Source organism: Homo sapiens, chromosome 19 (assembly GCF_000001405.40).
Source record: "Homo sapiens chromosome 19, GRCh38.p14 Primary Assembly".
NCBI lineage: Eukaryota > Metazoa > Chordata > Mammalia > Primates > Hominidae > Homo > Homo sapiens.
Genome location: NC_000019.10, coordinates 32,599,823 through 32,625,220, shown reverse-complemented (window position 1 = coordinate 32,625,220; position 25,398 = coordinate 32,599,823). Strand labels below are relative to the sequence as shown.

The 25,398-nt window shown below is 47.7% G+C and overlaps 1 protein-coding gene and 1 non-coding gene across 2 annotated transcripts in view; both read left to right on the top strand.

Moving 5' to 3' along the window:
* Nucleotides 1-25,398, top strand: part of ANKRD27 (ankyrin repeat domain 27) — a 78,175-nt gene that overhangs the window by 49,960 nt on the left and 2,817 nt on the right. The window contains exons 18-27 of the mRNA NM_032139.3: nt 2,602-2,799; nt 5,668-5,727; nt 5,842-5,961; nt 7,588-7,632; nt 9,441-9,563; nt 17,389-17,586; nt 19,267-19,386; nt 20,797-20,958; nt 23,095-23,206; nt 25,171-25,249. Of these exons, the coding sequence (NP_115515.2) occupies nt 2,602-2,799; nt 5,668-5,727; nt 5,842-5,961; nt 7,588-7,632; nt 9,441-9,563; nt 17,389-17,586; nt 19,267-19,386; nt 20,797-20,958; nt 23,095-23,206; nt 25,171-25,249 (1,217 nt within the window). The remainder of the gene's footprint in view (nt 1-2,601; nt 2,800-5,667; nt 5,728-5,841; nt 5,962-7,587; nt 7,633-9,440; nt 9,564-17,388; nt 17,587-19,266; nt 19,387-20,796; nt 20,959-23,094; nt 23,207-25,170; nt 25,250-25,398) is intronic.
* On the top strand, nt 16,752-16,884 carry SNORA68B (small nucleolar RNA, H/ACA box 68B). The gene has a single exon (NR_145718.1). It is a non-coding gene; the product is annotated as a small nucleolar RNA, H/ACA box 68B (small nucleolar RNA).

The window sequence follows — 25,398 nt, the reverse complement described above, 5'->3', positions numbered from 1 at the left end:
GCAACGATGGGATCTTGACTCACTGCAACCTCCTCCTTCCAGGTTCAAGCGATTCTCCCACCTCAGCCTCCCGAGTAGCTGGGATTACAGGTGTGTGCCACCACACCCAGCTAATTTTTGTATTTTTAGTAAAGTCGGGGTTTCACCATGTTGGCCAGGCTGGTCTGGATCTCCTGGCCCCAGGTGATCTTCCACCTCAGCCTCCCAAAGTGCTGGGATTACAGGAGTGAGCCACCGCACCTGGCCTTTATTTTTTACTTTTTAAAATTAGAAAAACAAATTTTTTTTGAGACAAGATCTTGTTCTGTTGCCCAGGCTGGAGTGCAGTGGCATGATTTTGGCTCACTGCAGCCTTAGCCTCCTGGCTCAAGCCATCCTCCCACCTCAGCTTCCCCTGGGACTAAAGGTACACACCACCATGCCTGGCTAATTTTTATATTTTTGTAGAGAAAGGGTTTCGCCATGTTGCCCAGGCTGGTCTTACATTCCTGAACTCAAGTAATCCTCCCACCTCAGCCTTCCAAAGTTCTGGGAATACAGGCATGAGCCACCATTTCTGGTTCACTTTTATAATGATATCCAAGAATTGCGTAATTTCCATTTTCACGTCCTGTTTCACCACTATGTGCTTATTTTTTCCTACCCGCCCTCCTTCTGGCTTCTCTCCATAGTGATATATGGATAGATTTACACACGTGTGTGGGGCTCAGGCCTGGCCAGGTGGTTGATGTATGAAGATGACACCATGCCCTGTATGCTTTTATGCCACTTGCTTTCCTAACTTAGCTCTACGTTACAGAGATCCTCTAGGTCAGTCCCTGTTGATCTAGCACATTCTTTTTTTTTTTTTTTTTGAGACGGAGTCTTGCTCTGTTGCCCAGGCTGGAGTGCAATGGCACGATCTTGGCTCACTGCAACCTCTGCCTCCCGGGTTCAAGCGATTCTCCTGCCTCAGCCTCCTGAGTAGCTGGGACTGCAGACACATACCACCACATCCAGCTAATTTTTGTATTTTTAGTAGAGACGGGGTTTCACCATGTTGACCAGGCTGGTCTTGAACTCCTGACCTCAAGTGATCCGCCTGCCTCAGCCTCCCAAAGTGCTGGGATTACAGGCGTGAGCCACCGTGCCTGGCCATCTAGCACATTCTTTAATAGCTGCAGTGATCTATCGTGTGTTGTGTCAGTGGTCTCCAAGACCACCCCTGGGCTCAGTGATTTGCTGGGAGGACTTACAGAACTCAGCATATAGTCGCACTCACAGCTGTGGTTTGTTACAGCAGAAGGACACAGAACAACATCAGCAAAGGGAACAGGCACGTGGTGGAGTCCAGAGAGGAGAGCAGGGGTGAGCTTCAAACAGTCTCTCTCGGCTGGGCACAGTGGCTGGCACCTGTAGTCCCAGCACTTTGGGAGACCAAGGCCGGCAAATTGCCTGAGGTCAGGAGTTCAAGACCAGCCTGGCCAACATGGTGAAACCCTGTCTCTACTAAAAAAATACAAAAATTAGCTGTGTGTGGTGGCACACACCTATAATCCCAGCTACTCAGGAGGTTGAGGTGGGAGAATCACTTGAACTAGGAGGCGGAGGTTGCAATGAGCTGAGATTGCACTGCTGTACTCCAGCCTAGGCGACAGAGCGAGACTGTGTCTCAAAAAAAAAAAAAAAACAACAGGTCTCTTTTCATGGACCCACACAGGATGGGCTCAGTTCTTCCAGCAGTGAGTTGGAACAACACACAGGAAGTGTGGTCCACTCGGGAAGCTCATTAGGAACTCAGTCCCCAAGAGTTAATGAAGGCTAGTCCTGTAAGCACCTTCTGGACAGCATGTACCAAAATGCCATACTCCCAGAAGAAACTCGGGCGTTCAGCATAAACCACATTGTATAAAACAATTCAGGCCCAGTGTGAGCCACCTAATCAGTTAGGGAATTTTGGGAACACTCCCCACATCCAGGCACCCATAGAATGTTTCAGGCCAACAGGCAGTCTTGCAAGCAGGCCTCTCAGTGGTTAGCAGTCTCAGGCCTGCTGTAGTAACTCTGTTCTGTACATGGAGACATCACAGTTTTTGCAGCCACTTCTTATTGATTGGCAGTTTCATCCTTTTGAAAGCATGAGGTGTCCTGGCTGAGCGCAGTGGCTCACATCTATAATTCCAGCACTGTGAGAGGCTGAGGTGGGAGGATTTTTTGAGCCCAGGAGTTTGAGTCCTGCCTGGGCAACAGAGTGAGACCCTGTCTCTACAGGAAAAAAAAAAAATTAAAAAAAAAAACCATCCAGGCATGGTGGTGCATGCTTGTAGTCCCAGCTGCTCGGGAGGCTGAGGTGGGAGGATCGCTTAAGCCCAGGAGTTCAAGGCTGCAGTGAGCTATTATTGCATCACTGCACTGCAACCTGAATAACAGAGAGAGATCCTGTCTCAAAAAAGAAAAAGAAAAAAAAAATGAATGAGAATGAGGTGTCCTGATCAGATACTGTGACACTTCTGAGTTCTGTCTGTTACTGCACATTTGCTTGGTGAGGAGGTCGAGGAGAGCACGGACCTTGTCGAGGCTTGGTACATCCATGAGCGATGCCATTTCCCCATCTCTTTGCAGTGTGTGAAGGCTCTGGTTTACTACGACGTGGAGTCGTGCAGACTTGACATTGGCAATGAGAAAGGAGACACCCCTCTACACATTGCTGCCCGCTGGGGCTACCAAGGCGTCATAGAGACATTGCTGCAGAACGGAGCGTCCACCGAGATCCAGAACAGACTGAAGGAGACGCCCCTCAAGTGTGCATTAAACTCAAAGGTAGCTCTTCCCATCTCTGAGGGGCAAGATGACTTCGAAAGAAGATCGATGTCCGTAGCTTAGGTCTTGGCCTACTAGACAAATTGTGCATTATTGCCTGAGGGCAGAACTTGGCTTGCACCCTTTCTGCCGCATGTGGGACGTCATCATTAATGGGTTTTACTGATATATTATTTTTGGTTTGAGTGGGCGTTTTTCTCAGGGTTGTTCCAGGAACTCCTGCAGGCAGAGTTTGTTCTGGCTGCCGAGTGCTATTGATTTATTGGCAAATGGAGTGGGTAGAAACGAGGCTCCGCAGGGGCAGGGACTGGGGAGGGAGCAGGATGTGTTGGAACTCTTTTTTCCCGGTGCTTCACCTTCAATGCCTAGAGTCTTTATTGAGACTCGGCCAGTTCTGGACATCGAGTGTGGTTTCTTTCATACATAATTTGTTAATGAGCTCACCTTTTTCTGGTAGTAATTTCTGGAGACATAGTTTGGGGAGCATGTTGTGAAGTGCTCCCCTCTCGTGAGTCAGTGGGGCTTGGAGGTGGCTCGCAGAGGCCAGTTCTCTGCACTCTCGTCTCCCGGCAGCAGAGCTGGTGAATGGCATCGTTAGAGAGGCATGTGGCAGACTGACCAGGGGGAGCACAGGGCCCTGTGAAATGGAGACCCCAGCATGGACGTCCAGAATATCTGCAAGCTGAGGCTCCCCTGAGGGATTCTGTTCCACTCCAGGTCTCTAGGGGAGCCCCGTTTGTACAGGCCTGACTTTCTGCCTTTTTACAAAAATATTTAATTTTTTTTGTTGTTTTGAGATGGAGTCTCGCTCTGTTGCCCAGGCTGGAGTGCAGTGGCACAATCTTGGCTCACTGCAACCTCCACTTCCTAGGTTCAAGTGATTCTCCTACTTCAGCCTCCCTAGCAGCTGGGATTACAGGTGCCCACCACCACACCTGGTTAATTTTTTGTATTTTTAGTAGGGATGGGGTTTCACCATGTTGGCTAGGCTGGTCTTGAACTCCTGACCTCAGGTGATCCACCCACCTTGGCCTCCCAAAGTACTGGGATTACAGGTGTGAGTTATTGCGCCCAGCCCCAAAATATATGATTTTAGAAAAGTAATAGAGATGAGATCTTAGTGTGTTGCCCAGGCTTGTCTTAAATTCCTGGCCTCAAGTGATCCTCTCACCTTGGCCTCCCAGGGTGCTGGCATTACAGGCATGAGCCACTGCGCCTGGCCAGCTTTCTGCCTTTTGATGTTTTACTGCTCCCTTTTATAATTTCCAGCTCTTCCAGGTTGTTCTTTCAGTTTGTTCACATCTTATTCTTGGAGTAGCACAGTTTGAATTTGTTTTTATTTTTGTTTTCTCTAAACCTCTTTATTGAGGCATGATTGGCATACAGAAAGCTGTATATAGTCAGTGTATACAACTTGATGAGTTTAGAGAAGAGTGGACATCCATGAAACCATCACCACCATCTACGCCATAAACATATCCATCACCTCCAAAAGTTTACTTCTGTTCTCTTTTTTTTTTTTTTTTTTTTTTTTTTGAGACAAGGTTTGGCTGTATTGCCCAAACTGGAGTACAGTGGTGCGATCTCAGCTTACTGCAACCTCTGCCTCCTGGGCTCAAGGCATCCTCCCACCTCAGCTCTCGAGTAGCTGGGACTACAGGCATGCGCCACCACACCCGGCTAATTTTTGTATTTTTTATACAGGTGGAGTTTCACCATGTTGGCCAGGCTGGTCTCAAACTCATGACCTCAAGTGATCTGCCCGCCTTGGCCCCTTAAAGTGCTGGGATTACAGGTGTGAGCCACCGCCCCTGCTTTCATCTTTCTTTTTTATTGTTTTGGTTTTTTTTTTTGAGACGGAGTCTCGCTCTGTCGCCCAGGCTGGAGTGCAGTGGCATGATCTTGGCTCACTGCAACTTCCACCTCCCAGGTTCAAGCAATTCTCCTGCCTCAGCCTCCCTTGTAGCTGGGAGGTATAGGTGTGTGTCACCAAGCCCAGCTAGTTTATTTTTTTTTTGTATTTTTATTAGAGATGGGGTTTCATCATGTTGGCCAGGCTGGTCTTGAACTCCTGACCTCAAGTGATCTGCCCACCTAGGCCTCCCAAAGTGCTGGGATTACAGTTATGGGTCATCTCGCCCGGCTTCCCTCTTTTTTTTTTTTTTAAATTATTTTGTGTGTGTGTGGCAGGGACACAGCATAAGAACTACAGTAAAGCACAGTTTGTGAAGGGTTAGATCCCTGTTTCTGGCTTCAGGGGCCTCCGGCTGTACCCCCTGAATACTGCCAAGGTCGCAGCTTTCTGGCAGGCAGAGCTGACTGGGCTGAGCAGTGCCACCACGGCTGGGGCTGCTGGGATGTCTTGGGAGGAGGGTTCTATTGCCGTGGCGTTTGTTTACCAAAGGCCCTTCCAGAGGGAGATCTGCAGAGGAAAAGAGAGGCTGCCTTCTCGGCTTGGCTCTGAGCTGTTCCTACTTGAGACCTGTGGGTGCTAGAGGAAAGGCCACACCTCATGCCTGTGGACAGACAGGCCTGGGGGCTGGATGCAGTCACCTTTCAGGCTCCATGCGGGTCTGGCTTCTCTTATCCCTTGCGTCCATGCGTGGGAAGCCCTGAGCCCTCCCACGGGACAGGAGGAGCCGTGAAGGGAGGAAGCCCCGACTTCGGGGTGATCGTGCGTAAGTTCCCACCTGCTCTGGGTCTTGGTTTTTCTGTCTATCCAAGGGTGCGACTGGGCCACGTGACCTAAGGCTCACTGCACTGACATTCCGAGGAGCTAGGCCGGCAGTGGGGCGTGTGGGTGATGGCACTGTGCTGAGACGACCCCCATCTCACGGGGTACTGTTGGCATCCCCCTTGTCCCCCTAGATTCTGTCTGTAATGGAAGCCTATCACCTGTCCTTCGAGAGGAGGCAGAAGTCGTCCGAGGTAAGTCAGCCGGGCTGAGCAGGTCAGGTTACCTTGGAGACCAAGGGCGCCTTCTCTGGTCCTCACGTGTCCTTGTGTCCTGTCCTCTCTCTCGTTGGGGCTCCTTGGCTGCAGGCCCCTGTGCAGTCCCCGCAGCGCTCCGTGGACTCCATCAGCCAAGAGTCCTCCACTTCCAGCTTCTCCTCCATGTCAGCCAGCTCAAGGCAGGAGGAGACCAAGAAGGACTACAGAGAGGTGAGGCTTCCAGAGGAAGGGCTGGGGAGGGGAGGCCTTGGCGGCCCTGGGCAGTGGTGTCCAGCTGAAGAGCCGTGGCCTGACAAGGGCCGCCCTCTCAGCCTGCTTGCCCATGCTGAGGCCGCTGCTGCTCTGTGGTGGCCGAGGTTGGTGCCTTCAAGCTGGGCCCAGCAGCATCTCGCGGTGCTGTATATTTTGGTGTGCCCTTCATGGACCACTCCCTGAGCAGCAATTAGTGTGGTAGAGTGCGTTTGTGTATTAAAGAGAGGATAGGCTAAGAAGAAGACAAGTCAGGTCATGTAGAAGTCCGCTGATTTCAGATCATTTTATTTTTATTTTTTATTTTTTGAGATAAGAGTCTCGCTCTGTTGCCCAGGCTGGAGTGCAGTGGTGCAATCCGGGCTCACTGCAACCTCCACCTCCCAGGTTCAAGCAATTCTCCTGCCTCAGCCTCCCAAGTAACTGGGATTACAGGCGTGAGCCACCATGCCCGGCCAGATCTGCCTCATTCTTTAGCTGAGGAGTGGACTGTTGAATGGATGTACCACCTTCGATGGCCCCCCCATGGGTGCTGAACCCTCACTGACCCTACCATAGTGTCCCACTACCCACAAGCCGTGACATGCTCTTGGAGGACCAAGTGAGCTTAGCTCCATGCAAAGCCATAGCAGAGACAGCCAAGAGACATGGTCCAGAGTCTAACGGAGACCTGAAGTTGTCCCTGGGAGGGGTGTCCACCCTCATGGTGTCCCAGCTAGCAGATACTGATAGCTGAGTTCAGTATTTCTTTTTTTTTTTTTTTTTTTTTCTTTTTGGGACACGGTCTCACTGTGTCACCCAGGCTGGAGTGCAGTGGTACAGTCATAGCTCCCTGCAACCTCAAACTCCTGGGGATTGCCTCCAAAGTGCTGGGATTACAGGCCGAGCCACTGCACTTAGCTAAGTGTATTTTTCTAAATCATAGGGGTGGCTGGCGTCTTAGGAAGGACTTGTGTTCCAAGGCGACCATGGCCTCACCTTTCCACTGATAAATATACATTTATATGTATATACATATAAATATACATATACATTTATACAATTCCACTGATAAAGTTACAGTTTATTATTCCCTAAATGGCAGTGGGTTCTGCGCACACCAGCAACTTCCTAGGATGCCCTCCCTGAGCAGTTTTAGGGACACATTTACAGGATACTAAATCAGCCGGGCGTGGTGGCTCACGCCTGTAATGCCAGCACTTTGGGAGGCCGAGGTGGGCGGATCACCTGAGGTCGGGAGTTTGAGACCAGCCTGACCAATATGGAGAAACCCTGTATCTACTAAAAATACAAAAAAAATTAGCCGGGCATGGTGGTGCATGCCTGTAATCCCAGCTACTAGGGAGGCTGAGGCAGGAGAATCGCTTGAACCTGGGAGGCGGAGGTTGCGGTGAGCCGAGATTGCGCCACTGCACTCCATCCTGAGCAATAAGAGCGAAACTCCATCTCAAAAAAAAAAAAAAAAAACTAAATCAGACGTTAAAAGTCCACAAATCAAGCCAATAGATTTTCAGAATGTTTATATTATTTCTATTATTATTTTATTGTTGAAATCATTTTTCTAACATTCTTGTTCCTTTTATTAAGGTAGAAAAACTTTTGAGAGCAGTTGCTGATGGAGATCTAGAAATGGTGAGTTTTTAGAAGTGCTTTTTATTTTATTTTTATTTTTTAGAGACAGGGTCTTGTTCTGTCACCCAGGCTGGAGTGCAGTGGCGTGATCATGGCTCACTGCAGCCTTGAACTCCTGGACTCAAGCAATCCTCTTGCCTCAGCCTCTTGAATAGATGGGACCACAGTTGTGCGCGGCCATGCCTGGCTAATCATAAACAAATTTTTTGTAGAGATAAGGTCTTGCTATATTGCCCAGTCTGATCTTGAACTCCTGGCCTCAAGCGATTCTCCTGCCTTGGCCTCCCAAAGTACTTGGATTACAGGTGTGAGCCACCCTGCCCAGCTTTAGAAGTGCTTTTTATTATAAAAAGCTTGTTCTAGCTTAAAACAGCCACCCACCTGTGTTTCTTGTCTCCGGTTCAGTTTCGGGCCATGTGGACTCTGATTTTGTGCAGAGGGCGCTATGTTTAATGCATATTTGGTAATGGTGTTGTTATATTTTCCTGACAAGTAATGAGGCAGATCAACATACAGGCACATAGCGAGTGTGGGCCCTGCCTTTCAGATGTCCATACTCCAGGAGTGTGATGAGACGTTGCCAAGACCAGAGACCATGTCCGAGGCACAGAGTGTGGGCTCAGAGCCCAGGCCCACTAGCCAGTGTGCAAGGAGGGCAGCTTGGTTTTAAGAGAGGGCAGCGTCTTGGGGAGAGGAGGAAGTAGAGAGGCGAAGGCAGAGCCCAGTGGTGTTTGTGAGGTTCTGCAGAAGCTGTGGTCAGCTGGGACTCCTGGGCCACGAGAGGGGGCCTGAGGCTTGAGGCTCTGAGGAGTCATAAGCAGGTATCTGGATAAAGATGGAGCCGCCAGCCCTGGGCTGGCACCTGGAGAGAATGTCGTGGCTTGAAGGAAGGCGTCTTTCCTAACCATTAGGTACATCTGACAGTGAAATGAGTGGACATTGGAGACAGCCTTCCTTAGATTCTGACGGACAGGTTCCCCTGGCTTGCCTTTGGCCCTTTGAAAGGACTGTGTCTTCCACTTTTTTTTTTTTTTTTTTTTGAGACGGAGTCTTGCGCTGTCATCCAGGAGTGCAGTGGCATGATCTCAGCTCACTGCAACCTCCACCTCCTGGGTTCAAGCAATTCTCCTGCTTCAGCCTCCTGAGAAGGTGGGACTACAGGCATGCGCCACCACACCCAGCTAATTTTTGTATTTTTAGCAGAGACGGGGTTTCACCATGTTGGCCAGGCTGGGCTTGAACTCCTGACCTCAGGTGATCTGCCTGCTTAGGCCTCCCCAAATGCTGGGATTACAGGCGTGAGCCACCATGCCTGCCCGTATCTTCCACTTTTAATGGAGGAGGGAGTGAGGTGCTCACTAAGTGCCCTAGGACCAGGATGGGTTTATTTTTTTGAGAGTTTTGCTCTGTTGCCCAGGCTGGAGTGCTATGGTGTGATCATGGCTCACAGTAGCCTTGAACTCCTGGGCTCAGGCGATTCTCTGGCCTCTGCCTCCCAGAATGCTGGGATTACACCTATAAGCCACTGCGCCCAGCCCTAGGACTAGAGTTTTAAAGCCATCACCCTGAGGCAGCACCAATCTTCCTGTCCTTTTTTATGATAGAAGAAAATAATCTCTGGCATAAGCTGTGAAGTGGAAGGACTGAGGAAGGCTTCATGAGGGAGCAGAAGCCGGTTATAAATGGCTGTGGGGTTGGAGAAGGAAGCGTGGGCCCTGATTGGGAACGGTTGATGGTGTGTGTTTAAGATATTGTGCATGCAAAGACGCTGAGGATGTGTTCCTGTTTCCGTTACTCTCCATCACCAGGTGCGTTACCTGTTGGAATGGACAGAGGAGGACCTGGAGGATGCGGAGGACACTGTCAGTGCAGCGGACCCCGAATTCTGTCACCCGTTGTGCCAGTGCCCCAAGTGTGCCCCAGCTCAGAAGGTTTGGCTTTGTTTCTGTTGGTGGAGGTCAGGGAATGTAGGCAATTTTTGTTTTTGTTTTTGTTTTTGTTTTTTGAGACAGGGTCTCGTTCTGTCACCCAGGCCGGAGTGCAGTGGTACAGTCATGACCCACTGCAGCCTCAACCGCCTGGGCTCAAATGATCCTCTCACCTCAGTGTCCTGACTAGCTGAGACCACAGGCATGCACCACCACACCTGGCTAATTTGTTTCTTTTTGTAGAGACTCAGCCTTTCTGTGTTGCCCAGACTGGTCTCGGCCTCCCAGGCTCAAGCTATCCTCCTGCCTCAGCCTCCCACAGTGCTGGGATTACAGACGTGAGCCACTGCTCCTGGCCAGCAAATTCTTCCTTTTTCCCTCAGGAAAGTTCTCGATTTCTCAGCCAGATAATTACTGTACTGCATGTCTGTGAATAGGTATTCCCCAAGATATGGTGAGACTCATTAGCCTAGGGCGGGTGCCAGCTCCCTGCGTGGCAGGTAAGCGAGCAGAGATGTGTCCCATGATTAGCGTTTTGGCTGCTATCTGGGCCCCTGAGTCCCGTGGCAGGAGCTTATGAACAGATGCTCAAGGGTCTCCTTCCAGGTACCTAAAGCCCCCCAGGGAAGCTGCACGCATGTTCTGCTGTTGCTTTTACTCAGTTGAGTTCACTCTTCATGGGGACTCTCCCTCCAAGTGCAGAGAAATCCCCAAACCCTCTCCCAGCTTTCCCCAGGGGTAACATCCTTGCAAAACTGTGGTACAGAATCACAGCCAGGATATCAACATTGATGCAATCCGTGGATCTTAGTTCAGATTTCCCCAGTTCTGCTTGTTCTCGTGTGTGTGTATGTAGTTCTGTACAGTTGTGCCACATGTGTAGGTTTATGTATCCACCATCACATTCAAGATATTTTCTGTGACAGATACTTTTATATACTCCTTGTTCTTTTTATTTATTTATTTTTTTATTTTTTGAGATAGAGCCTTGCTCTGTCGGGCGATCTTGGCTCACTGCAACCTCTGCCTCCCGGGTTGAAGCGATTCCCCTGCCTCAGCCTCCTGTGTAGCGGGGACCATAGCACCCACCACCACGCCCAGCTAATTTTTTGTATTTTTAGTGGAGACAGGGTTTCACCATGTTGGCCAGGCTGGTCTCAAACTCCTGACCTCAAGTGATTCGCCCATCTCAGCCTCCCAAAGTGCTGGGATTACAGGTGTGAGCCGCTGCGCCTGGCCTCCTTGTTCTTTTACAGCCTCTTGTTCTTGTTTTGTAATGTCTCAAAAAGACAGAACACTAAACTGCTTTATATCTTTGATTAAATTGAAACCCACCCCGCCATTCTTTTCTAGCCCAGTGTTTTAGAATTGGTCTTTAAATCCTTTATCGAAGTATAATTCACAGACAATAAAGTCTATGTATTTATACAACTTGGTGAGCTTTTACAGATGTAAAACCTGTGAAGCCATCACCACCATCAAGACGCAGCATGTGTCTGTCACCGGAAAGCACAGTTCTCTCACAAGACCAATCATTCAAACTGCCCTCTTACAGCCACACCCACCTCTCTCCCTGCCACGCCCACCCCACCATCCCCAACCGCTGGCAACCACTTACCTGTTCTCCATTTCCCTAATCCTGTCACTTCAAAAACGTTACATAAGTGGCTTATGCCTGTAATCCCAGCACTTTGGGAGGCCGAGGCAGGTGGATCACGAAGTTAGAAGATCAAGACCATCCTGGCTAACATGGTGAAACCCCGTCTCTACTAAATATACAAAAAATTAGCTGGGCGTGGTGGCGGGCGCTTCTAGTCCCAGCTACTCGGGAGGCTGAGGCAGGAGAATGGCGTGAACCCGGGAGGCAGGGCTTGCAGTGAGCCGAGATTGTGCCACCGCACTCCAGCCTGGGCAACAGAGCAAGACTCCGTCTCAAAAAAAAAAAAAAAAAAAAGTTACATAAATGTAATCACAGTATACAATCCTTTTGGGATTGACTTTCTTCACTCCGTTTGATTCCACACTGTTGCCTAGAATCAGGTCTGTTTCTCCATGGCGGGGTGGCATTCCATTTGTTTAATGGTGGCATATACTCACTGTGGAATGTCCAAGGACATGTAGTTTGTTGCTAGTTTGGGGAATATTACCAATAAAACTGCCACGAACAAACATTAGAGTAGACGTTTCGGTAAGAACACAAGTTTTCATTTTTCTAGGATAAGTGCCCAAGAGTGCAATTGTGGAGTCATATGGTCATTGCATGGCAATTCCATGGTTCATTTTTATAAGGAACTGACAGTCTTTTCCCAAGCAGGCTGTATCATTTTACATGCCCACCAGCGATGTATGAGTGATCCAGTTCCTCCTCGTCCTCCCCAGCACTGGGTGTGGTCATTATTTTCTGTTTTAGCCATTCAGATAGGTGTGTAGTACTATCTCAGTGTGGCCTTAATTTGCATTTCTCTAATGGCTGATGCTGTTGAACAGCTTTTCATGGGCTTATTTGCCATCTGTATATGTTCTTCAGTGAAATGTCTGTTCATTTGTTTTGCCCATTTTCTAATTGGTTTGTTTTTGGCTTTATCGTTGAATTTATATATTCTAGATATGTGGATATTTGTTAGATACGTGCTTTGCAGACATTTTCTTTCAGTCTGTAGCTTGTCTATAATTTCCTCACATGGGCTTTCACAGAGAAAAAGGTTTTTAGACATCTCATTTGTCAGTATTTCCTTTTATGGATTATACTTTTGGTGTCAAGTCTGAGAATTCTTTGCCTTGCTCTAGATTTCCAACTTTCTCCTGTTTTTTTTAAGTTATAATTTTATATTTTATAGTTAAGTCCATGATCCAATTTGTGTTAATTTTTACTCAAAGTGTGAGATTTAGGTTGAGGTTCTTCTTTGTTTTTTCTTGCCTACAAGTGTCCACTTGCGCCAGCACCATTTGTTGAAAAGCCTCTCCTTCCTCCCGTGACTTGCCTTTGCACCTCAGTTGGCTATAGATTGTGTGGATCTATTTCTGGGTTCTCTGTTCTGCTGCATTGATCTATGGGCCCATCCTACCAGTACCGCGCTGTCTTGATGACTGATGCTGTGTAGTAAGCCTCAGTATTGGATTGAATGATTCTTCCTAATTTATTCTTCTTTGCCAGGAATATTTCAGCTATTCTATGGCCTGTGCCTTGCCATGTAAATTTTATTTATTTATTTACCTATTGCTTACTTACTAACTTACTCACTCTTATAGTACCCAGACTGGTCTGAGCTATATCAATTTTAGAATTAGTTTTTGTATGTCTACAAAATACCTTGCTCGGATTTTGATAGGAATTACATTAAACCTATAGATGAACTGGGGAGAAATAACATCATATGACTCAACGTATGTTGAGTCTTCATGAACATGGTACATCTCTCCAAGTATTTAGGCCTTCTTTGACTTCTTTCATCAACATTTTGTGATTTTTTTTCAGCATACAGATCCTGCCTGTGTCATGTTAAGTGTACACCTCAGTATTTCATCTTCTTTCAAGCAGTTGTAAATGGTATTGCATACATAGCATGCATTCATGTGTTAGCTATCTAATTATAGATGTGTATGTCCCATACTAAGAGAATTAGGCTGGGCTCAGTGTCATACACCTGTAATCCCAACACTTTGGGAGGCCGAGGTTAGAGGATCACTTGAGGCCAGGAGTTTGAGACCAGCCTGGCCAACAGAGTAAGACCCTGTCTCTAAGAAACTAAAAATATAAAATAGAAAATAGAAAATGAATTTGGCCGGGCACGATGGCTCACGCCTGTAATCCCAGCACTTTGGGAGGCCGAGGCGGGTAGATCACCTGAGGTCAGGAATTCGAGACCAGCCTGACCAACATGGAGAAACCCCATCCCTACTAAAAATACAAAATTAGCTGGCCGTGGTGGTGCATGCCTGTAATCCCAGCTACTCGGGAGGCTGAGGCAGGAGAATCGCTTGAACCCAGGAGGCGGAGGTTGCGGTGAGCCGAGATCGTGCCATTGCACTCTAGCCTGGGGAACAAGAGTGAAACTCCATCTCAAAAAAAAGAAAATGGATTTGACTTTATAAAATAGATAGAGTGGTGTTAGCCTTTATATTGTAGGATAATTTTACCATTTCTAAAAAGAACTTCAGCGTGGGTGACTCTAAGGATATTGAAAATGACTAAAGTTTTCCCTCACACATTTTTCAGCTGTGAGGTAACATGTACACTGGGGATGTGCACCTTTTGACCTGGCCCCCTGCTGCTGGATGCACATGGTCCAGAACACAATTTCCCCGAGGTGGGTGGCTATGAAAACACAGGATAAGAAAGGCAGATGGTGTTCCCTAGCATCTGGTGGGAAGTGATGAAGCCCTCGGGCCCTCAGTACCTGTGTGTGGCGAGATTGCTGCATCTCCGCTGCTGCTGTTTTTGCCATTTTTCTCCTCCCTGTGTTTTCCCACTTTAATTACACAGTAAAATACTGTGGAACTCAATTGGGTGAAGTCTTAGGTTCCCTGTACTTCTAAAACCTCTTATTCTCTTTTTGTGATTTCTCAAAAAGACACACCACTAAACTGCTTCATGTCTGTGATTAAATGAAAATCCACTCCCCCCATCCTCTTCTAGCCCAGTGATTTATTTTATTTTATTTTATTTTATTTTAATTTTTAGAGATGGGGTTTCACTCTGTCACCCAGGCTGGAGTGCAGTGGCACAATCATAGCTCACTTACAGCTTGGGACTCCTGGGCTCAAGTGATCCTCCTGCCCCAGCCTCCCAAAGTCCTGGAATTACAGGCATGAGCCACCACACCAGGCCTCCAGTGGTGTTTAATGTATTACTTCTTTTTTTTCTTTTTTGAGACGGAGTCTCCCTCTGTCGCCCAGGCTGGAGTACAGTGGTGCAATATTGGCTCACTGCAACCTCTGCCTCTCGGGTTCAAGACATTCTTCTGCCTCAGCCTCCCGAGTAGCTGGGACTACAGGTGCATGCCGCCACACCTGGCTAATTTTTGTATTTTTAGTAGAGACAGGGTTTTGCCATATTGGCCATGCTGGTCTCAAACTCCTGACCTCAAGTGATCCGCTTGCCTCAGCCTCCCAAAGTGCTGGGATTATAGGCATGAGCCACTGCGCTTGGCCTAAACTTTTTTTTTTTTTTTTTTTTTAGAGACGGTCTTGGTCTGTCACCAAGGCCAGAGTGCAGTGTTGCAATCATAGCTCACTGAAGCCTCAAACTCTTGGGCCCAAGGGATCCTTTTGCCTCAGCCTCCCAAATGGTTGGAACTACAGGCACGTACCACCATGCTGGGCTATTTTATTTTATTTATTTATTTATTTTTTGAGACAGGGTCTTGCTCTGTCGCCAGGCTGGAGTGCAGTGGCGCCATCTCGGCTCACTGCAACCTCTGCCTCCTGGGTTCAAGCAATTCTCCTACCTCAGCTTCCTGAGTAGCTGGGACTACAGGCATGCGCCACCATGCCCAGCTAATTTTTGTATTTTTAGTAGAGACGGAGTTTCACCATGTTGGCCAGGATGGTCTCGATCTCTTGACCTCATGATCCACCTGCCTCGGCCTCCCGAAAGTGCTGGCATTACAGGCGTAAGCTACCTTGCTGGCCTATTTTTTTTATTTTTGTAGAGACAGGGTCTTGGCTGTGTTGTCCAGGCTGGTTTCGAACTCCTGGGCCCAAGCGATCCTCCTGCCTCAGCCTCCCAAAGTGCTGAGATTATAGGCGTGAGCCACCACACCCGGTCTCCAGTGGTGTTTTAGAATTTGTTTTTAAATCTTTTATTGAAATATAATTATATACATTATAATTTATATAATTTATATTTACATAAAGCATATGTATTTAAAGTATACAATTTGGCAAGTTTTACAGATATATAAACCTGTGAAACCATCACCACCATCAAGATACACAACGTTTCCCTCACTTGCAAGAGTTTCCTGTGAGATTTTGCCTTCCCCCCCACTATGACCCCCCCATTCCCCCATCGCCTCTCCCAGGCAACCCGTGACCTGCTTTTCATCATCATGGATTAGTTAACACTTTCGAGAATCTTTTGTAAGTGGAATTCTAACGCATGTCCCTTTTCATGTCTGCCTTCTTTGACTCAGGATATTTTTGAGACCCATGTTGGATCAGGAGTTCATTGCTGGATAGTAGTTGATTGGGTGGACACACCAGAATTTGTTGTTTCATTCACCTGTTAATGGACATCTGAGTAGTTTTCCTGCTTCTGGATTTGTAAATAAAGCCATTGTGAACATTTGTGTACAGGCCTTTGTGTGGATATATACGTTGGTGGGTAAACACCTAGGAGTTACAGGCCTTTGTGTGGATATATACGTTGTTGGGTAAACACCTAGGAGTATAATTGCTGGATTATATAGTAAGGATATGTTTAACCTTAAAAGAAACTGCCAGTTTTCCAAAGTGGTTGGAGTAGTTTCTGTTCCCTCCAGCAGGGTTTGAGCATTCCAGTTGCTCCACATCCCTGCCAACATTTGGTATTTTGACTTTTTTTTTTTTTTTTGGAGATGGAGTCTCGCTCTGTTGCCCAGCCTAGCCAACGTGGCAAAACCCTGTCTCTACTACAAATACAAAAATCAGCCAGGTGTGGTGGCACACGCCTGTAATCCCAGCTACTTGGGAGGCTGAGGCAGGAGAATTCGCTTGAACCGGAGAGGCAGAGATTGCAGTGAGCCAGGCTGGATGGAGTGCAGTGGTGTGATCTTGGCTCACTGCAACCTTCGCCTCCTGGGTTTGAGCGATTCTACAGCCCAATGCATGCCTGTAATGTAGCTGGGATTACAGGCAGGTGCCGCCACACCTGGGTAATTTTTGTATTTTTGGTAGAGACGGGGTTTCACCATGTTGGCCAGGATGGTCTAGAACTCCTGACCTCAGGTGATCTGCCCACCTCGGACTCTCAAAGTGTTGGGATTACAGGCATGAGCCACTGTGCCCAGCCTTGAGTTTTTAACTTTAGCCATTCTGATAAATATGCAGGGTATTTCATTTAGTGTGTGTATGTATGTGCACATGTGTGTTTTCCAGCTTCTTTTTTATTTTTGAGATATAATTTACATATAATAAAATTCAGCCTTTAATTTAGCATACAGTTTTTTTTTTTAAAGAGGTAACATTTTTAATCATCAAAAAGTAAAATTATTCTCACCTAAACCCAAGAATCACTGTTTCTTATAGCGGTGGTTTAAACAGAGGTGCAAACAGCAAGTGAATCTCGTCGCCTTTGCGGGGCTGTGGCCATGCCCCTCAAAGGAAATTTGGAGGCTCTACAGCCCTGGTGAAAAAAAAAAAAGTGAAATTAGCCAGGTACAGTGGCATACATCTGCAGTCTCAGCACTTTGGGAGGCTGAGGTGGGAGGACCACATGAACCTGGGAGTTCAAGACCAGCCTGGGCCAGCTGGTGAGACCCCATCTCTACAAAAAAAAAAAAAAAAAAAAATTAGCTGGGCACAATGGCTTGCACCTGTGGACCTAGCTACTTGGGAGGCTGAGGCGGGAGGATCACTTGAGCCTAGGAGGTCGAGGCTGTAGTGAGCCATGATGGTGGTGCCACTGCACTCCAGCCTGGGCAACAGAGTGAGACCCTGTCTCAAAAAAAAAAAAAGGAAGTTGTTTTTTGGCATGCCACATACTTCTAAACAAATTGGAATCCATCCTGGATCCCGCCATGATCCCGCATTGTGTGTGGGAGCTGTGGGGGGCACATGGTGCCAATCACTCCAGCCCAGTTTCTTCAATACTGATGACGTTTGTGTTTCCATCTTCTGCGCTTCCCAGAGGCTGGCGAAGGTTCCTGCCAGTGGGCTTGGTGTGAACGTGACCAGCCAGGACGGCTCCTCCCCGCTGCATGTCGCCGCCCTGCACGGCCGGGCGGACCTCATCCCCCTCCTGCTGAAGCACGGGGCCAACGCAGGTGCCAGGAACGCAGACCAAGCCGTCCCGCTCCACCTGGCCTGCCAGCAGGGCCACTTTCAGGTTCGGGCTGTGTGTTGGGGGTGGTGGAGCAGGGTGTCTGCTTTGGGCTAGGACCTTGTGCTTGGTAGGAACGCTGCAGGGGTTTGGTGGCTACCCTGGAGGACACTGCTCCCCCGAGCCCTGAGATTCTGAGGTGCACACGGTAGGCCACTCAGCCTCGGAGCACAGAGCCTTGATGCTCCCTGGGGGTGGAGCCAGTCCCTGCCCCACTGCCACTCCCATCTGGGTGATACCGAGGTTGTCATTCTGATTCTTGCCCCCAGCAGGATCTGGCTCTTGAGCTCGTGTGGTGGCCACCGAGCACTGTCCCCATGGTCATCTTACCACCTTTACACCCCGACAGTGCCTTGCTCTGGGCCAAACAGTTCAGCACTTCATAAAGAACAGTCAGGGCCCCATAGAGGGGCTCAAGGAAGAATTTTGAATTTTGGAGTGATTAACTTTTTGAAAGTGCTGGGGTTTTTTGCCTTTTTTTTTTTTTTTTTTTTTTAAGACATCACCTTGCTCTGTCTCCCAGGCTGGAGCGTGGGAGTGCAGTGGTGCAATCTCAGCTCACACTGCAGCCTCAATCTCCTGGGCTCAAACAATCCTCCCATCTCAGCCTCCCTCCCTAGTAGCTGGGACCACAGGCGTGCACCACCACACCTAGATAAATTTTTCTTTTTTTTTTTTTTTTTTTTTTTTTTTTTTTTTTTGTGGAGATGGGGTTTCACCATGTTGTCCAGACTGGTGTTGAACTCCTGAGCTCAAGCGATCCTCCCACCTTGGCTTCCCAAAGTACTGGGATTACAGGGATGAGCCACAGCACCAGGCCCTGCTTTTCTTTAAGGAAAACTGTGTGTATATTTTTTCATTTTCCTTTATCAGTTCTACTGTTAACTTTTTAAAGAAAGGAGCCATATTTCAGGTCTTGCATCTCTCTCGCCAACACCTAGCATAGAGCTTCAGGCATGGCTTTCCTAATCTGTAAATTCGGAGTGGCGATTGCAGCTCTCCCTGAGGTAGAAAGGATAGAAAGGTGAAGTGAGATCACTGTCGCCCAGCACATCGGGTGAAGTGAGATCACTGTCACCCTGCGCTTCAACCGCACAGAGCAGCCCCGCAGCAGATGGTAGCCCTCCCCTCTTCACCTGGTCCCTTTTCTCCTGAGAGTCTAAAGTCTTCTCAATAAGCTCAGAGACGGCTGGGCGTGGTGGCTCATGCCTGTAATCCCAGCATTTTGGGAGGCCGAGACGGGTGGATCACCTGAGGTCAAGAGTTCGAGGCCAGCCCTGCCAACATGGTGAAACCCCGTCTCTACTGAAAATACAGAAAATTAGCCAAGCGTGGTGGCAGGCGCCTGTAGTCCCAGCTGCTCAGGAGGCTGAGGCGTGAGAATCAGTTGAACCTGGGAGGCGGAGGCTGGAGTAAGCCAAGATCACGCCACTGCACTCCAGCCTGGGCGACAGAGCGAGACTCTGTCTGGAAAAAAAAAAAAAAAAAAGAAAGAAAAACCAAAAAGAACAACAACAAAAAAATAAGCTCAGAGACAAGTCAAAAGAATATCAAACTTGAGCATTTCTCTCCAGAAACTTTGTTTTCTTATTTTATTTATTTATTTATTTATTTTTCATAATTTTTCTCTGGCAGGAAATGACAGAAATTTTGATTAAGTTTGCACGTTTTCCTTCTCTGGCCCAGGTGGTGAAGTGTCTGTTAGATTCGAATGCAAAACCCAATAAGAAGGACCTCAGTGGAAACACGCCCCTCATTTACGCCTGCTCCGGTGGCCATCACGAGCTTGTGGCACTGCTGCTACAGGTGAGGGCCCCTTCCTGTCCTCATTCTACACACCTGCGCCAGTTAACAGGGCGCCTCCACCCAGCGACCCCCGCAGCGCACTGGGGATGGAGAGGCCCGGCCACCCATCAACCCCAGGCCTCTGGGGAGAGGAGCAGGGCGTGCGTCTTCCCACACGGGGTTCTCCGATGGGAACAGATGGTGCCCCAGCATCTGGGATGCGGTCTCAAGGGCTCCGACGCTGCTTTTGCCAAGGGTTTGGGTCTCACCTCACCGACCGGGAATGTGTCACGCTGTTACCTGAGCATGGGCTGAGTGGCCGCCTCTGTCCCTGCTGCTCTTGAAAAAGGTTATGTGAATGCATTAGAATTTCTTAAAGAAGTAGGGAAAAACCAACCTGTCCATGACTGTGCTACTCAAGGGAAACTCATTATGGTGGACTTTTGACAAATGTGTATAGTTTCAGTGTTATTTATTAATTTTTTTTTGAGACAAGGTCTTGCTCTGTGGCCCAGGCTGGAATGCAATGGCACCCTCACAGCTCACTGCAGCCTCAGTCTCCCAGGCTCAGGTGCCTCAGCCTCCCAGCTAACTGGGACTACAGATACATACCACTGCACCTGGCTAGTTTTTGCTGTTTGTTTTTAGTAGAGATGGGGGTCTCACTATGTTGCCCAGGCTGGTCTCAAACTCCTGAGCTCCAACGATCCTCTTGCACTGGCCTCCTAAAGTGCTGGATTACGGGTGTAAGCCACGGGGCCTCGCCAAGTATTGTTTTCTCTTTTTCCGAGATGGAGTCTCGCTCTGTCACCTAGGAATGCAGTGGCTTACTCTCAGCTCACTGCAACCTCTGCCTCCGGGGTTCAAGCGATTCTCCTGCCTCAGCCTCCCGAATAGCTGGAACTACAGGCGCCCACCACCATGCCCAGCTAATTTTTTTGTTTTTTGGTGTTTTTTTTTAGTAGAGATGGGATTTCACTATGTTGGCCAGGCTGGTCTTGAACTCCTGACCTCAGGTGATCCACCTGCCTCTGCCTCCCAAAGTGCTGGGATTATAGGCATGGGCCACTGTGCCTGGCCCCAAGTATTGTTTTCTGTCTTAATGTTATTTAATGTAGAAACTTATTTACTCAAACTTTGATTTTTAATGGTTGCATAACTATGGATATACCATAGTGATTTTTTTGAACCTGTTTCTGCTCTGTACATTTAAGTGGCTTCTGTTTTCTCTGCTATTAGGATAAATGCTGCAGCGAACTCTTTGTCTATAAATCTTTTTTTCTCAGTATTACTTTTCCTCCCCAAATTTTAAGGAAACTTTCAGACATAAAAAAAACAATGTGTTTTATAGCGAATACCTGTATACCCACAGCCAGATTCCATGCTGACGTTTCGTAGCGTTCCTTTTGATCGTGTGGTTTCTCTTTCCAGCACGGGGCCTCCATTAACGCTTCTAACAATAAGGGCAACACAGCGCTGCACGAGGCTGTGATTGAAAAGCACGTCTTCGTGGTAGAGCTGCTTCTGCTCCACGGAGCGTCAGTTCAGGTGCTGAACAAGCGGCAGCGCACGGCTGTAGACTGTGCTGAACAGGTAGGTGGAGAGGGTCGAAGAGCCGAGGGAATCCTGAGCTCCTCACAGCTCCCTCTGGATCCCTTTGTTTAAGCTGGATCTAAAATAGCAACACCTGGCCCTTGGCATCGCCGGGCTGGGCGTAGTTGGTGTGCCAGAAGTCCACAGCGTGGGTAGATGGCTGGTCCTCAGTCTCCTGGTCAGAGGTGGTGCTCTGGGAACCAGGAATCATTCTTTTCACAGGTGGTTTTCAAAGGCCTGAGTGGAGGGGCCCCCCCCTCAGCTAGCAGTAGGGCTGTGGTCCGGTAGTTACATAGAGTCAGGCACTCAGGAAGGAGCAAGTCATGATGTTCTGGTGTCACCATCCTCACAGTGTGAACACAGCCGTTGTCTTAGCAGCACGATGGAGAAGGTTTGTTTTGTTGGTGGATTTAAAACTCCTTGAGGCCAGGCACAGTGGCTCATGCCTGTAATCCCAGCACTTTGGGAGGCCAAGGAAGGAGGATCACTTGAGCGCAGGAGCTCATGACCAGCCTGGGCAACATAGTGAGACCCCCTCTCTACAAAAAATCAAAAAATCAGCCGAGCATAGGGGTGCATGCCTGTAGTCCCAGCTACTCAGGAGGCTGAGGTGGGAGGATCGCTTGAGCCCAGGAGGTCAAGGCTGTAGTGAGCTGAGATTGTGCCACTGCACTCCAGCCTGGGTGACAGAGACTTTATCTCAAAAAAATGAAAGTAAAAGTCCTTGAGTCCTGTAGGAATCGTGATTATTGGCCTACTGCCTTCTCCAGTGCTGTGGATGCTTGCGTGGAGAGCGGCGGGGAAGGGTCCTTTTCCCCTGGCGAGCGGCAGCTCTTTCTGTTCCTGTTTTCCTGCTGAGTCTTTCTTTTGTTTTCTACCCAAGATAGACAGCGAGTAGGCTGTTAAGTGACACAACTGAGAAGCTAACATCACCATCAATCCACTCCATGGACAGGCTCCTTAGAGTAATTTTTTGTTTCTTAAGACAGAGTCTTGCTCTGTTGTGGCGTGATCTTGGCTCACTGCAACCTCTGCCTCCTGGGTTCAAGCGATTCTCGTGCCTCAGCCTCCTGAGTAGCTGGGATTACAGGCACGTGGCACCACACCTGGCTAAATTTTTGTATTTTTTGTAGAGACGGGTTTCACCATATTGCTCAGGCTGGTCTTGAACACCTGACCTAACTGATCCGCCTCCCTTGGCATCCCGAAGTGCTGGGATTACAGACGTGAGCCACTGTGCCTGGCCTCCTTATATTAATTTTCAGTGACAGAATTGAAATATTTTAAACTCTCAGTTTAGTACTTTCTTAAATGATTATGTTGAATTTTTTTTGGTTTTTAAAATTTTTAATTTTATTATTATTATTATTTTTTGAGACAGAGTCTCAATTTGTTGCCCAGGCTGGAGTATAATGGTGCAATCTTGGCTCACTGCAGCCTTAACCTTTGGGCGCAGATGATCCTCCAACCTCAGCCTCCCAAGTAGCTGGGACTATAGGCGTGTGCCACCATGACCAGCTAATTTTTTTTTAATAGAGACAGGGTTTTGCCATGTTGGCCAGGCTGGTCTCGACTGCCTGGGCTCAAGCAATCCACCCGCCTCGGCCTCTCAAAAGTGCTGAGATTACAGGCGTGAGCCATCGCGCCTGGCCTTTTATTATTTTTAAATAGAGACAGGGCCTTGCTATGTTGCCCAGGCTAGTCTTGAACACCTGGGCTCAAGCAATCCTCCCACCTCAGTCTCCCAAAGTGGTGGGATTGCACGCGTGAGCCACCGTGCCCAGTTAATTAATGTGTTTCAATGAGTACTTACTATATGGGGGCCCTCAACAGCCTCATGATAAGCATATGATAGTAGATCTTATTATGGTTGAGCTGGTTGCATGGAGTGGTTGAATCCCCAGCGTGGAGTCCACAGAGAGGGCAGAGCTTTTACCCAGTGGTAAAAGCAGAGCCGGGCTCCCCATGCAGGCCTGCTTTTACCACTGGGCTTTATGGCCTCCAAGCTCCATTTGTAATTATTTCTGAGCTTTTTCTGCCCAGTCACACTAATACTGACATTTAGATCAAAAACAAATAATAACCTATTAAAAAAGAATAAAAACATTACTGTTCCTTTTCCCTTTCAAATTGCAGAATTCAAAAATAATGGAATTGCTTCAGGTGGTACCAAGCTGTGTTGCTTCATTAGATGATGTGGCTGAAACTGACCGCAAGGAGTATGTCACTGTTAAGATCAGGAAAAAATGTAAGAGTTTACGTTCTTTCTGTCACGCTCAAGTTGGGTATATTTAGACATTCATGAGTAGTTGCTGGTGTTCATTTAATTGTATATGTAAAGTGTAATTATAATCATGCCTGGAGGAGATACAGGCACCAAAGAAATGTATGTTACCTCCCAATTTATCAGACTATGGGTAAGCTTTTTTTGTTACTAGTTTTCTGGTTGATGGTAATGATGTTTCCTGAGGAAATAGGATAGAAACTGTCAACACTACCTTGAAGGTTCAGGTGTCTGCCTATGGAGATGGGGAACAGTCTCTGGGATAGTTTCTTTCATGCCTCATGTTCCAAAGTCAGGTGTTCTGGGCATTTCCTGGACATCCAGGGTAAATGCTACCTTTCAAGATTTTTTTTTTTTTTTTTTTTTTGAGACAGAGTCTCGCTCTGTCACCCAGGCTGGAGTGCAGTAGTGTGATCTCAGCTCACTGCCAGCTCTGCCTCCTGGGTTCACGCCATTCTCCTGCCTCAAGTAGCTGCCTCCCACTCTCAAGTAGCTGGGACTACAGGTGCCAGCCACCACGCCCAGCTAATTTTGTTTTTGTATTTTTAGTAGAGAGGGGCTTCACCGTGTTAGCCAGGATGGTCTCCATCTCCTGACCTCGTGATCTGCCCGCCTTGGCCTCCCAAAGTGCTGAGATTACAGGTGTGAGCCACCAAGATTTTTTATTTAGTTAGTTTTTTTGAGACAGAGTCTCACTCTGTCACCCAGGCTGGAGCGCAGTGGTGCAATCTCAGCTCACGCAACCTCTGCCTCCTGGGTTCAAGTTATTCCCCTTCCTCAGCCTCCCGAGTAGCTAGGATTACAGGCACGTGCCACCATGCCTGGCTAATTTTTGTATTTTTAGTAGAGACAGGGTTTCACAATGTTGGCCAGGCTGGTCTCAAACTCCTGACCTCAAGTGATCCGCCCTCCTTGGCCTCCCAAAGTGCTGGAGTTACAGGTGTGAGCCACCGCGCCTGGCCTCAAGATTTTTTTTTAAGTTTGTACGTGTACGGAGGTTGATTATAATTAAAACAGCAGTTGCCGAACAGCAGTGAGACTGAAGTATTTTCTTCTTTTTAAAAAGTTTAGAAGGGGTCCTTGTTCTACTTTTTTTTTTAATTTACAATATGAAATATTATCCAGTGAGGTATGCAATAATGCAATACAATAATATGGATAAACCCATTCACATATCTCGATAACCCTGAGACTGTCTCACCGTAATTGGTTGTGGCTGGGGGAGTTAAGGGAGTTAAGGTTTTATTTTTCTATTTCATGGGGGTTCTCATAATACAGGCTGACTACCCCCTATCTCAAATGCTTGGGACCAGCAGTGTTTTGGGTTTTGGAATATTTGCATTATACTCATTGGTTGAGGATCCAAATCAGGAAATCAGATTCTTCTGAGCATGAAGTCAAAGAGTTCAAAATGTCTCGGATTTTGTAGCTTTTTTTTGAGATGGAGTCTTGCTCTGTCGCCCAGGCTGGAGTGTGGTGGTGCAATCTCGGCTCACTGCAACCTCTGCCTCCTGGGTTCAAGCGAGTCTCCTGCCTCAGCCTCTTGAGTAGCTGGGATTATAGGTGCGTGCCACCACGCCTGGCTAAGTTTTTGTATTTTGGGTAGAGATGGGGTTTCTCCATGTTGCCCAGGCTGGTCTTGAACTCCTGACCTCAAGTGATATGCCCACCTCGGCCTCCCAAACTGCTGGGATTACAGGCATGAGCCACTGCACCCAGCCTGTGGCATTTTAGGCTTTAGATTTTTGGATTGGAGATACTCAACCTGTTATAAATAGGTACTAGCTGTGTTTCTTTAAGCAAATTCAGTGCTTCAGTTTCTAAATTTTGTAAATCTGAGAATAGAAAGATTGTGTCTGTGCTGTAATTTTAAAATAATCTTTACAACTGTTTTTGAAGTTTTTAGATGTTTATCTTTTTATCTACAGGGAACTCAAAACTGTATGATCTACCAGATGAGCCTTTTACAAGACAGTTTTACTTTGTCCACTCAGCTGGTCAGTTTAAGTGAGTATGAAACTCAAGTTGATTTCTGTGCTTTTGCCCCTAGTTTACTCCAAGCTGCACGTAAGCTGCTTCAATTGTAATTGGTTATGGACAAATCTGCACCTACTAATGTCAAAAATGCTGCCACCTTGTGGCCAACCAGAGTGTTT